At 46.9% G+C, this 13280-nt stretch overlaps 1 long non-coding RNA gene across 1 annotated transcript; it reads left to right on the top strand.

Moving 5' to 3' along the window:
- Positions 234–12073, top strand: LOC124902489 (uncharacterized). Its single transcript, XR_007062260.1, has 2 exons — positions 234–2980; positions 6072–12073. It is a non-coding gene; the product is annotated as an uncharacterized LOC124902489 (long non-coding RNA).
- Positions 12074–13280: the final 1207 nt, after the last annotated feature.

A 13280-nucleotide genomic window follows, 5' to 3' on the forward strand; every position in this document is an offset into this window, starting at 1 on the left:
CTGGGGCCTTTTTATCCGCCTCCCGCCCGCGGCCCCCCAGCCCCGAGCTGGCCGCGGAGGAGGCCCCGCAGGCCCCGCCCCGGGCGGGCCTGGAGTCCGCGGGCGCCCCGCCCGGCCTTCCGCGCGGCGCCCCCCGTCGGGACACAGGCCAGGTGGCGGGGGCGCCCAGCCGCAGCCGGCGGGGCCGGGAAGTCCCGGGGGGCGGGGGGAGCGGGGGGGCGGCGGGGGGTCGCGGGGAGCGGAGCTCTCGGGAAAGGGCGGCGCTGGGCCCGCGGCTGTTTTGCAGGGAGGGCCGCGGCGGCCTCGGGAGTCCCTCTCCCAGGCAGTTTCCTCTTTTGCAGAACAAGGTAATGACGCCCACCTAGAGTCCCAGTCTGTGAGTCCTGGTGGGTGCCAGGGCCCCCGGCACAGCACCCTTCGCACGGGAGCGCCCGGCTGTCACAGGGGCCGAATCTCACGAGCTCGGTCACTTAGGACAATGTAGACGCCCTTTCTGGGAGGCCGGGGCTCAGTTCAGAGAGGTCGAGGTGGCGCGGTGCAGCGGTGCTCTCCTGCAGGAACAGGCGAGTCACCCAGAGTTTACTGAATACCGCCCCCCCCCCCCCCCCCGCCCTCCGTGTGAAACTCTGCGCTGCCCATTGTGCAGCTGGGAACACTGAGCCCCAGGCGACATAACTTGCTCCTCCAGGCAATACACAGTGAATGGGAGAACCCCTTCACAGAGCTGAATGATGCAGTCCTGGCCCTTGTCAGACTCACGGGAGGAGGGTGTTAGTGCAGGGAGCAGGGACTGTAGAATTAAAGAAATGTGGACATGGCTGACAGAGAGGAGTCCCATCAGCTGAACTGAGCACCTAGGTGCCTGAACCCCAGTCCAAGCCCCCAGTTTCTTTCCCCTAGACCTGGTCCTGCCCTTAGCCTCACTGGCCCCATCTGTAAAATGGGCAGAGGGTTCCAGCCTCCCGGTTTCCTCCCTAGGCCCACAGCTGCCCAACCTGGTTCCCCCTCTTGCCCCCACCTTGCCTAAACGTCCTTCCAAAGGTTCATTCATCCCACAAGCCTTTATTGATTTTCTCCTACATGCTAGACAGGGTGCTGGAGTGCTAGACGCTGGAGGGGGCCTTCCCAGTCTGGTGGGGGAGGCAGATGTGCAAGTAAGAATAAGCCTGGACAGGCAGAGTGTGATAGAGCTAGGATGTCAAGATGGACCTTTTCGATCCTGGGTGACAGCCAGGTCTTAATGACCCTGCTGCCAGGGACCTGCCATCCACTCCTGGCTGCCCGTGTCCAAGATGTCCCCCCAGTGCCCCTGCCCCACCCCAGCTGGGCCCAAAACATTCCCCATGATGAATCAGCAGGAAAGAATGCTCCCAGCCTCGGGTCAGTGGCAGCAGCCCAGCTCCTCCCCCAGGGACAATGAGGCAGCTGTGGGCTTGGGTGCCAGGTATGCCTAAGCCCTCTCCTAGGGCCCAGCCACCTCTCATGCTGAGCCAGAAGCAACACAGAGGGTTCGGAAACGTGGGCTCTGCCTGCTGCCAATCACTCACCAGGCCTGGCTGCCCAGAACTAAAAATACCCTGGAGCGCAGGGGCGGGCGGAGGATAGAGACCAGGGAATGAATGGATGTTGCCCGGAAGTCCTTTAATTTGCACAACTCTGGGCAGAGGCCAAGGCTGGGAAGCAGTGGAAGTGGGGATCTCTAAGGCATGCGCTGTGAGCCCCCAACCCTGAGAAGTGAGGGGCTCTGGTCCCAGCCCCAGCCCATGGCGTACTAACAGTGGGATTTTCTCGGCTGAGTTGTCATCTCCTCATCCTTAAATGTGATTGCTGTAGGGGTCAGATGGGACCACTGGATTCATCTCAATCAGCTTTCATTTGATTGAGAAAGCCCTCTTCTTCCCTCCTGCCTGGCTATGTTCACCCGGCCTCAGCCCAGCGCCTGTGACCCTCTCCATACTCTTTATATAATGGTCTGTGTCTGCCTTAACTCTGGACACCCCCACCCACCCCCGAGCTTCTTATTTATCTCTAAACCCAGATCCTGTCACAGAGCTTGACACATAGCAAGTGCTCCAGAAGTGCTCACGGATTGAATAAATGGACCTAGCGGTGCGTGCCAGTTTCTGGTCCCCAAGGTGATACAGACAAGCCAGAGGTGCTTCCTATCTTGTCCTCAAGGAATTTGCAGAGTGGTGGGGGAGACAGAGCCACAATCAACCAGCAGGACAAGGCATCATCACCATTATCATCATCATGGCTGGCTGGGGTCGAAAAACCGGTGGACAATGCTTTCATCATCTCCTGTTTACACAATGAAACTGGGACACAAAGGGGTTAAGTGACTTGGCCAACATCACACAGCTGTTATCTGCAGATGGGAGCAAGTGATCAATGACGGCGAAAGCACAGGGCTGTGTGGATGCTGGGCAGGGAAGTCTGAGGGTTGAAGCCTTCCCAGAAGTGCCTTGGAAGGTGGATCTGATACACTGGGTAGAGAGGGGGGAAAGTGGAGTGGTCAGGAATAACACTTTACGATGTTGTGGAAGCCGTGAAGCACCATGCAGGTGTCTGGAGTTACCGCAGCTCCCCTGATCCCTCAGCCAGTACCCAGGGACTTGGATGTGTAAGCATCACCTCTCCCTGCCTCCTCCCAGGGAAAGGAGCTAACATGAATCTCTTCCCCATGGGGTGCTTCTCAACCCTCCCTTCCTGCCTAAGTCAGGGTCTGTACTTTCCTCCCAAGTGGGAAGGCCAGAATCTCCTGCAGAAAGCGGTGGCCTCCAGGGTGCACCTGGTTGAACCCAGTAGTGACCCTGGTGGAGTGCCCAGTGCCCATGCCTGCTGGCAAACTTCCTCCTCAGCAGCCTTCAGGACTCAGTTCTAGCCTCATCTCCTCTGTGACTCAGTATGGAGGAAACTGTACAGCTTTAAAACTGGGCAACCTGAGTTCTAGCTCTGCTTCTGAATTGTGTGGCCTCGGGTAAGTTATTTTGCTGTGCCTAAGGTACTGCCTCCTGCATCTATTTGTCCTGCCGTTGCATTCCTGCCTCCTCTAACACTCAGTGCTGTGGCAACAGCCCCCAAACTGCTCTCAGTTTTTCCCTGCATCTCACTGTTCCTGACGTCAGTCTTTCTAAAGTGTTGTCTTGCTCTAGCTCAAGAATCTTTAATTGCTCACTACTGCCCACAGGAGAGAAGGAATCTCCAGTTGCCTCTACTCACTTCATTTTCCATATTCTACCTACCCTTCAGGCCTAACTCCGATTCCAACTCCTCCGTGATATCTCCCATGAAAACTTGCATGAATGCTCTCAAAGTAGAAGGTGCTGGAAGAGTCACAGAGCCAAACCAGACACAGTGTTTGCCCTCAAGGAGCTCACTGTCTAGTGAGAGAGATGACTCAAAGACATAGCTTGATGGAACGTAGATTGTAATAACAGAAAGTAGGACAAATGGGGAGAACAAGCCATTTTGGCCAAGGACAGGCTCCTCCTTTGTTGAGAGCTGTTTATCCAGAAACAGGGCTTTTGTTCAGGGAGAGGATGGGAGCTGAGAGGGTTTTGTAAGATCATGAAGTTGGGGAAGTGGGGAGGGTGGATCTAGGAAGCCTGGAGGGGCTAGTCAAGGATACGGTTTCTAGGGAGAAAGGAGAGATGAGCTGGTTGCAGTAAGGAGAGGAAATTTGGCGGAAGAGCAGAGCTGGTTAAAAAGAAATTCTAGGAAGTTTGGGTTTGTGATAGGCAAAGTCACCCTCTCCCCTGTTCTGTGAAAGCTTCAGAAACCCCGCATAAGTCAATCAAGTTTGGAGCTGGACAGGCCCACCCCAGCATTTGCAGGGCCCAGGGCAAGACTCAAGGGAGGCCTTATGCCATGAGTCAAGTATTTTAAAGCCATCAACCAAATGAATCCATTGTTAAGTCAATCATGGTCTAGCCTCCCACCTTGACAAATATACCTTTGGAAAGACCTGGAAGGTCAGGTTTGCATTCACAACTTTCCACTCCTCGGAGTTCTGTATGGAACACGCTATGACAAGAGTGTCTGCCTCTGGCCTTGCACCCTGGTGTGTCCGTCCGCACCATATTCTGCCCATCCCACACAGCAAGGGGCCTTCTGCTGTGACAGACATGCAACACCGTCGGCTCTGTGCAGACCTCCCACAGACAGCTGTCCTGTGGCTGCCCCATGCCTGGGTGCACACTCTGGCACAGGCACAGGCTGCACTCAAGAGGAAGGTCTAGAAGTGGGCTCTGGCCTCCTGGGCAAAGAATTCCAAGAGCATGGGTTTGAAAATCGAGTGGAAGTTCCTCCTTGCCCTGTGACGGGGGGTGGGGCGTGGAGGGAGTGTAATTGACAAGGGCCACGGTGATGCCCTCTGTAGCAGGAGGACCAGAGCAGGGACCCTTGCCCAGGTCTAAGGGCAGCATGGAAGTGGGATTGTGTGTATGTGTGTATGGGGCGGGGAGAGGATGTGACGTGAAGGTGGGAATGTGGCTCAGAGGTGGGCCCTGGGGGAGAGTGAGGGGGCTACTCAGTCACTGAGCCTCCTTAGGGTCACACACAATGCTCCATGGCTGAAAGAGAGGAGAGGATGCCCCCAGTGCGGCGAGTGGGCGAGGCGGGAGAGGAAGGCAGAGGCATTTGGTCTGGGCTCAGGTCGAAGATGCTGGCAGGGAGAGGGTTGAAGGGGGAGCAGCCCAGCCAGGTTACCTTTAGAGAGCTGCGAGCCACCTGAGCAAGGGCCTTAGCTTGGCAGGTAGGAGGGGCCGCTGCAGCTTTCCGAAAGGGTTGGGGTAGGAGTGGGATTTGGTTAGAGTTGGGCTACAGGAATCTTAATCTTGCCAGGTACTGTCCTGAGCTGGTTTAACGCTTCACAGTCATAACTTTTTGTAGGAGGTGGGGGGGACAGGAACTGATAAGGGTGTTGGGGTGAGGGGACAGGAAGGAGTTTAATAAGCTCTAAGCTACTGAAAGGCAGAGAATAGGACTCAGATTCCCCACTTCCACCTCCAGGAATGCCAGCACAAATGCCCTGAATTCCCAGAGAAGTTTGGACTTTGTAAGATCAATCGCTCAACACACATTTCTTCCCCAGAGTCTCTTCCTGCCCCTCAGGAAGACACATGATGTCACCCCATTTCTCATATGTAACTCCTCCTTGCCTGGGGAAGCTCAGTGTCCTGGCTTTCCTCTCCCCCTCCTCCTCCTCCTCTTCCTCTCTCCTCTCAGGACCTCTTCCTGCCCTGCTGCCTTCCCCACCTTCTCCCCTCTCCGTCCTGGCCACACACCCTTTCTAAACTCACCTCCAACCACTCTCCAGTTCTCTTAAGAATATATCTCCCCCTGCCAATTTCCCTCTTCCCCCTGCACCCCCAGTGCCACCTGCAGAACCCCGCTTTCCCTGTCTCAGCAGCTGGACACAGGCGCAGCGCCTGGATGTGCTTCTATTCAGGTAAATTAAAGTCATAAGTTCTGGGGGGAAATGAGGCGGAATGAAGACTCAGTGCCACAGCCACACAGCCCCGGAGGTCCCTTCGGGAGCTCATGCAAGTCTGCACCAACCTTCTCACTTGCCAGTAATTGAACCCCTTTTTCCTTAAGCAACACCAGACAAGTTAAATTAAAAGACATTTCTTATTCTATGCTGTTTTCCTGGGTCCTTTAAAGCCACTGGTGTAGTAACTGTGTTGCATCTCCCATGGTGGATGAGGTCAACAGGCCTTAGTGGGCTAGCCTGGGAACTTCCCAGGCTACAATGTTCTCTTCGCAGGAGAACAATGTTCTTCCTAGCCCAGGGTTTTGCTTCTTCTTGGCCCCTTTGGGAAGATCACTGACTATTTGAGGGCATAGCCAAACTGAATGCTTAAGTGTTAGGAGCCACTCCCAACCCTAAATCCACTATTTGTGAATTATGTCTGGAATTAATTGATATTCCATGGGAAATAATTTCAGGAACAGAGGTATTGATTAAAGAGAGGTACACGTGAACTTAACACAGATATCTTCAGTCTTGTATCATCTTAGTTTTTCTTTTCTTTTTCTTTTTCTTTTTTTTTTTTTTTTTTTTTTAGATGAAGTCTTGCTCTGTCACCCAGGCTGGAGTGCGGTGGTGTGATCTTGGCTTACTGCAAACTTCCCCTCCCAGGTTCAAGCGATTCTCCTGCTGCAGCCTCCTTGGGTAGCTGGGATTACAGGTCTATGCCACTGTGTCCGGCTAATTTTTGTATTATTAGTAGAGATGGGTTTTCACCATGTTGGCCAGGCTGGTCTTGAACTCCTGATATCAAGTGATCTGCCCTCCTCGACCTCCCAAAGTGCTGGGATTACAGGTGTGAGCCACTATGCCTGACCCGGTCTTGTATTATCTTGCATTTTGGTTTGTTGATGTAGAGCTTTGTAAACATTTCAAAGACTCTTTGTTAGGAATTGGTTTTATCTACCAGCCAGAATGTATGATCATTCAAGACTGGGACTGACAGATTCCAAAGGTTAATTTTCATGTAACCAGCTCATCTTTAGCTTCCAGGAACCGCGAAGGGATAGACAAGAGCTGTCCTGGTGGGGAATTCCCTTGACCTGACTTGGAGGGGCAGAGAGGCAGGGGACCTGACACAGAGGTCAAGGGAGATCCCTGGATCAAGCAGGACCTAAGCCAAGACCAGAGCCAGAGAGCCAGGAGCGAGATGTAGAGCCATTGGCATCAAAGTGTTATCAAAGTCCAAGCAAGAAGTCAGGACTGAGGGTGGAAAGGAGAAGGACAAGCCCTGTCAGAAGCCAGGGCTCAGTCTGATGAACCTGTTCAGATGCCACCAGACAGAGCAGGAGGGCAGCAGAGCAACCCCCACTTCTAGTCCAGCGGCTCTTTGAGTGTGGTTCTGGATCAGCACCATCAGCATGGCCCAGGACTGTGTTTGAAACGCCAATTCTTAGGCCCCACTGCAGAGCCACTGAATCAGAAACCTGGTGGCGATGGGGCCCAGCATCTGTGTTCTAACACATCCTCCAGATAATTCTAATGCCTGCTATCATCTGAGAACCTCTTTTCTAGACCACACCTTTGGACAATGTTTGGTCTGACAGAGTCTGGAGCCCTGCAGGTGCAATTATCCTTGGAGTCCCAGACCTGTCTGGCAGGCAGGGGCCCTCTTGCATTCTGAGGAACCTCTTCCACAGATGTCAGGCTGAGTTTTGGGGAAGCACAGTTTTTGGGAAGCACGGCCTTCTACATCTCAGTTATTTCCAAATGGGTTCCAACCTCTTCATGTGGAGTGGGAGAGCCATGTTCTGCTTAGAGTTCTATAAGGACCTCCATTTCCCCAAGGAGCCCATCATTGTGGTGGTGGGAATTCCTCTTGTTGTCTTCAGGGGGCCCTACCTTTGCTGGGTCAGGAAGGGGAGGTCAGGCCAACATCTAGATTCTGACAGAATCTTCCTGCATGACGGGAATTTCAACATCTATTCAACAACACAAAAGTCAGTGCCACTGTGAACATCAGACTGAAGTCTGAGATCTTCCCGGAGACCAGCTGGCCAAAAGATGTCATTGATGCCTAGCTCTGGGCAGGCAGAAGAGACCCGGAGCCTGTTACAAACGCCTTCTCCTTCTTCTTGGAGTTGGTTCTGGCTTTCATAATTCACAGTGGATCCAGAGTTGCAGAGATAATTCTTAGTCTTGGGCCATTCTGGATATATCATTCTTCCTCATAGACCATTCTGGATACGTCTTTGTGGCCAAAAAAGAGTTAAATAGCTGCAAGGTTGTTGATTTGTTTACAAAAAAGAAGAAGAAGAAGAAGAAGAAGAAGAAGAAGAAGAAGAAGAAGAACAAGAAGAAGAAGAAGAAGAAGAAGAAGAAAGGAGAAGAAAAAGAGGAAGAGGAAGAAGAGGAAGAGGAGGAAAAGGAAGAAGAAGAAGAAGAAGAAGAAGAAGAAGAAGAAGAAGAAGAAGAAGAAGAAGAAGAAGAAGAAAACTGCTCAGAAAGGACAAGAAAAGCTTCATTTCCTAGCCATTAACTGAAAACCACCTTTCTTAGGACAGGTTGACCTCTAAAGTGTTGACTGATCCATCCAGAAAAAAATGTAGATAAATGATGTCTCTTTTTAGCATTTCATACCAATAAACAAGGTGGGAAAGAAGGAATTTCACCAAGATATCAGCAGAAACATAACTTTGGAGGAGAAATAATTTCCTCTTCATTACCAGTTAATGAAAACAAGCTTCTGCCCACCAGCACTCTGAATTGCTGTCACTGTGGTGAGGTGGTGTGACAGGAACTTGGGGTAACGCCTTAGGCCTCTGGCAAGGATTCTTACATCAGAGCTAATAGGTGAATGTGTCTCATTCAAGGTGGGTGCTGCTCTGTGCTAAGTCTTGGGCATGGAGCCATTGTATCTGTACAGAAAACACTTGACTAGGCACCATGGGGACACCAAGAGAGAAAGACCCGGATCCTGCCCTCGGTTTAAGTCATGGATTATGTTCATATCACTATATGAATTACATAAACCAGTGAAATCTATTTGTATAGATGAGATCATTCATTCGCTTATTCATTCAGCACATATTTATGGAGCACCCATGATTTATGTAGCCACTTTGGGGGTCCAGAAAAGTCAACATAACCCAAGTTTCCCAGGCTCCAGGACAGTGCTGGGGTCACACTAATGATAATGGCCATACTTTCTGGTTCTTCTCTCTACTATTCAGTGAGCGCTTCTAGCACCATGCCCCCCACCCACTGCTCCAGTCAAATTCTCACTCAGTTTGCATCTAGGAGTTTTCAAGCGTGGCCAGCATGTACTCATAAAGCAGGCTGTAAGCCACGGTTAGATTGCAGCATCTTCCATAATCTTCCCACCCAGCTTTGCACCCTCCCCTCCCCAACCCTTGATGTTCATTACCTAAGAAGCTTTGTAAAAAAACTTTTCAAGTATTTGTGGCTAGTGCCCACTGCAAAAATTGCTGCTGTCCACGCCAGGGGGTTAGCAGCTCCTAAAGCTGCCACCTCTCAAGGCACAGAACAGTGCTACCTTTCCTCTGTAATGAGGAAAATGCCTGACTCCACCCTGTTCTACAGTGTGCCATCTGTACTCTATTCTGTTCCATTGGCCTACAGTCTGTTTCTTCACCAGTATCACACCATGTTGGTTATTATAGTTCCATGTAAGTCTTACATCAGAATGTGTGAGTCCTCCAACTTGATTCTTTTTCAAAATTGCTTTGTTTATTCTAGCTCCTTTGCCTTTCCATATATATTTTATTTGTTTATTTATTTATTTTTAAGACAAAGTCTCACTCTGTCACCCAGGCTAGAGTGCAATGGTGCAACCTTGGCTCACTGCAACCTCTGCCTCCTGAGTTCAAGCAATTCTCCTGCCTCAGCCTCCCGAGTAGCTGGGGCAACAGGTGTGTGCCACCACACCCAAGTAGTTTTTGTATTTTTAGTAGAGATGGGGTTTTGCCATGTTGGCCAGGCTGGTCCTGAACTCTTGACCTGAAGTGTTCCGCTCACCTCAGCCTCCCAAAGTGCTGGGATTACAGGTGTGAGTCACCACACCCAGCCTCCATATACATTTTAGAATGTCTTTCCATATATATATTTCAGCCTGTCAATTTATTTAAAAAAAAAACCTGCTGGGATTTTCATTGGGATTACACTGAATTCATAGATGAGTTTGAGGAGAGATGACATTTTAAGAAAATTGGGTCTTCCAATTCGTAACCAAAGTTTAGTCTTTGATTTCTTTAATCAGTGATTTGTAGTTTTCAGCATAAAGATTCCACACAAAACATAATTTTTTTAGACTTATGCCTGAGTATTACATATTTTGGTAATATTGTAAATGGTGCTTAAAATTTTTAAAAATTTCTGATTGGTTATTGCTAGTACCTAAAAATACAATCGATTTCTTTTGTATTGACTGTATATTTTCTGTGAAATTGCTAAATTCATTTCTAGTAACTCGTATTTTCCTTGGACTTTTCTACATAGAAAAGCGTGTTATCTGTGACTAGAAACAGTTTTATTTCACTTTTCCCACTAATGTGCCTTTCATGTCTTTTCCTTGCCTGATTGCACTTTCCAGGCCCTCAAGTATAAAGATGAGAAGGAAGGACAGCGAACGTCCCCATCTTGCTCTCAATCTTAAGGGAAAAGCTTTCAGTCTTTGACCATTATATATGGATGTTACCTGCAGGTCCATTTCACTTCAGTTGTCAAATTTATGTCTGTAGGGTTATTTATAGCACTCTTTCATTATCCTTTTGATGCGTGCAGGGTCTTTAGTTATATCCCTTACTTCATTCCTGATACCAGTAATTTGCGTCTTCTCTCTTTTTCTTTGTCAGTCTTGATAGAGGACTGTCAATTTTACTGATGTTTTGGAAGAATTGGCTTTTTGTTTTATTGATTTTCTCTATTGTTTTTGTTTTCAATTTCACTGATTTCTGCTCCTATCTTTATTATTTCATTCTTCTGTTAAAACTGTGTTTATTGTTTATTTTGTGTTTTTAGGTGCTTAAAGTGGGAAATTAGATGATTAATTTGAGACTTTCCCTCCTTTTTAATGTAAGTATTTAGTGCTATACATTCTCCTTTCAACACTGCTTTATCTCTATCTCACAAGTTTTGATATGTTGTATTTTCATTTTCAAAGCATTTTAAAATTTCCCTTGAGATTTCTTCTGTGATGCATGAATTATTTAGAAGTTTGTTGTTTAATTTCCAAGTGTTTGGATGTTTTTTAGTTATATTTCTTTTATTGATTTCTATTTGATTCCATTGTGGTCAGATAACACACTCTGTATGATTTAAATTATTTTAAATTTGTTTAGGTTTTTGTTTTGTTTTGTTTTGTTTTGTTTGTTTTTTGTTTTTGAGACAGAGTCTTGCTCTGTTACCAGGCTGGAGTGCAGTGTGGTGTGATCTTGGCTCACTGCCACCTCCACCTCCTGGGTTCAAGCGATTCCCCTGCCTCAGCCTCCCGAGTAGCTGGGACTACAGGTGCACGCCACCATGCCCAGCTAATTTTTTGTATTTTAGTAGAGACGAGGTTTCACCATGTTGGCCAGGATGGTCTCGATTTCCTGACCTCGTGATCTGCCTGCCTCGACCTCCCAAAGTGCTGGGATTACAGGCATGAGCCCCGTGCCCAGCCTGTTAGGTTTGTTTTATGGTCCAGGACACGGTCTAACTTGGTATACTTTCCAGGGACACTTGAAAATAATGTGTATTCTCTGCTGGTGGGAATGTAAACTAGTACAACCACTATGGAAAACAGTGTGGAGATTCCTTAAAGAACTAAAAGTAGAATTACCATTCGATCCAGCAATCCAACTACTGGGTATCTACCCAGAGGAAAAGGAGTCATTATACGAAAAAGACACTTGCACACACATGTTTATAGCAGCACAATTCACAATTGCAAAAACCTGGAACCAACCCAAATGGCCGTCGATCAGCAAGAGGTTAGAGAAACTGTGGTGTGTGTATATATATATATATATATATATATATATATATATATATATATATATATATATGATGGAATACTACTTAACTGTAAACAGTAATGAGTTAATGGCATTCACAGCAACCTGGATGAGACTGGAGACTATTATGAAGTAACTCAGAAATGGAAAACCAAACATTGTATGTTCTCACTTGTAAGTGGGAGCTAAGCTTATGAGGATGCAAAGGCATAAGAATGACACAATGAACTTTGGGGACTCAGGGGGAAAGCGTGGCAAGGGAGTGAAGGATAAAAGACTACAAATAGAGAGCAGTGTATACTGCTTAGGTGATAGATGCACCAAAATCTCACAAATCACAGCTAAAGAACTTACTCATGTAACCAAACATCACCTGTTCACCAATAACCTATGGAAAAAAATGCGTGACATAAAAAGAAAATAATGTGTATTCTGCTGTTATTGGGTTGTTGGGTGAAGTGTTCTAAAAATGTCAATTGGATCTTATTGGCTGATGGTGTTGTTGAATTCTATATCCTGTTGATTTGCTGTCTAGTTGTTCTATCAATTATTAAAAGAGGAATGTTAATGTTTCCAACTATAATTGTGGATTTATTTATTTTTTATTTCAGTTCTGTCAGTTTTTGCCTTATGTATTTTTCAGGTCTGTGGTCTGCACATACATATTTAGGACTGCTGTGTCTTTTTAGTGGATTGACCCTTTTATTACTATGTAATGTCCCTGTCTGTGTTTGGTCATTATCTTTGCTCTGAAATATACTGTATCTGATTATAACATAGCCTCTCCTGTTTTCTTTTGATTAATGCTTGCATGATATGTCTTTTTCTATCATTTACTTTTAACCTCTCTATATTGTTATATATAGGGAGTCAACTAGTCAACTAGTTATGTATAGGGAGAGCAACACTGAAATATCACAGATGTTAGAATTTTCTGACAAAGATTTTAAAGCAGCCATTATAAAAATGTCTCAACAAATGATTACACAGTTGAAACAAATGAAAAAGAAAACAGTCTTAGCAAAGACATAAAAAGCTTCAGAGAAAAAATTAGAAAATATAAAGAAGAACCAAAAGGAAATTTCAGAACATAAAAATACAGTAATCAAAATTTGAAATCTCAATGGATGTGCTCAAGAACAGAAGGAAAATGGGTATTTATTCATCTCTTTACTTTTCTGTTTCTTTTTCTTTCTTTCTGACATTCCAACATTTCTTCTTTTTATTATTTCCTCCCTGTTTAGAAAATAACTCCTAGCCATTCTTTTAGGATAGGTCCCCTGGCAACAAATTCTCTGTTTTACTTCACTTGAAAATATCTTGATTACCCCTCCATTCCTGAAGGACTTTTTTGACTGATATAGAATTTGGGGTTGACAGTTTTTTCTTTTAGTTATTTTCTGTCTTGAGAATGTGCCATTTCTTACCGGCCTCCATGATTTCTGATGGAAAATCCTTTGTCATTCAAATTGTTGTCCCCTATAGGTAAGGTATCATTTCTCTCTCATTGCTTTCAATAATTTTCCTTGTTTTTGGTTTTCAGAACACTGACTATGATGTATCTTGGTATGGAGATACTTGGCTTTATCCTATTTGGGATTTATTCATCTTCTTGAATTTAGAGGTTTACGTATTTTGCCAAATTAAGAAAATTTTCAGCAACTATTTCTTTAAATGCTTTTTCTGGCCCTGTTTTCCCCTCTGCTTCCAGGAGTCTGATGGCAAGAATGGTGAATGTTAGATCTTTTGTTATAGTCCTACAGTTCCCTGAGGATTTGCTCATTCTTCTT

Source organism: Homo sapiens, chromosome 10 (genome assembly GCF_000001405.40).
Source record: "Homo sapiens chromosome 10, GRCh38.p14 Primary Assembly".
Taxonomy (NCBI): Eukaryota; Metazoa; Chordata; class Mammalia; order Primates; family Hominidae; genus Homo; species Homo sapiens.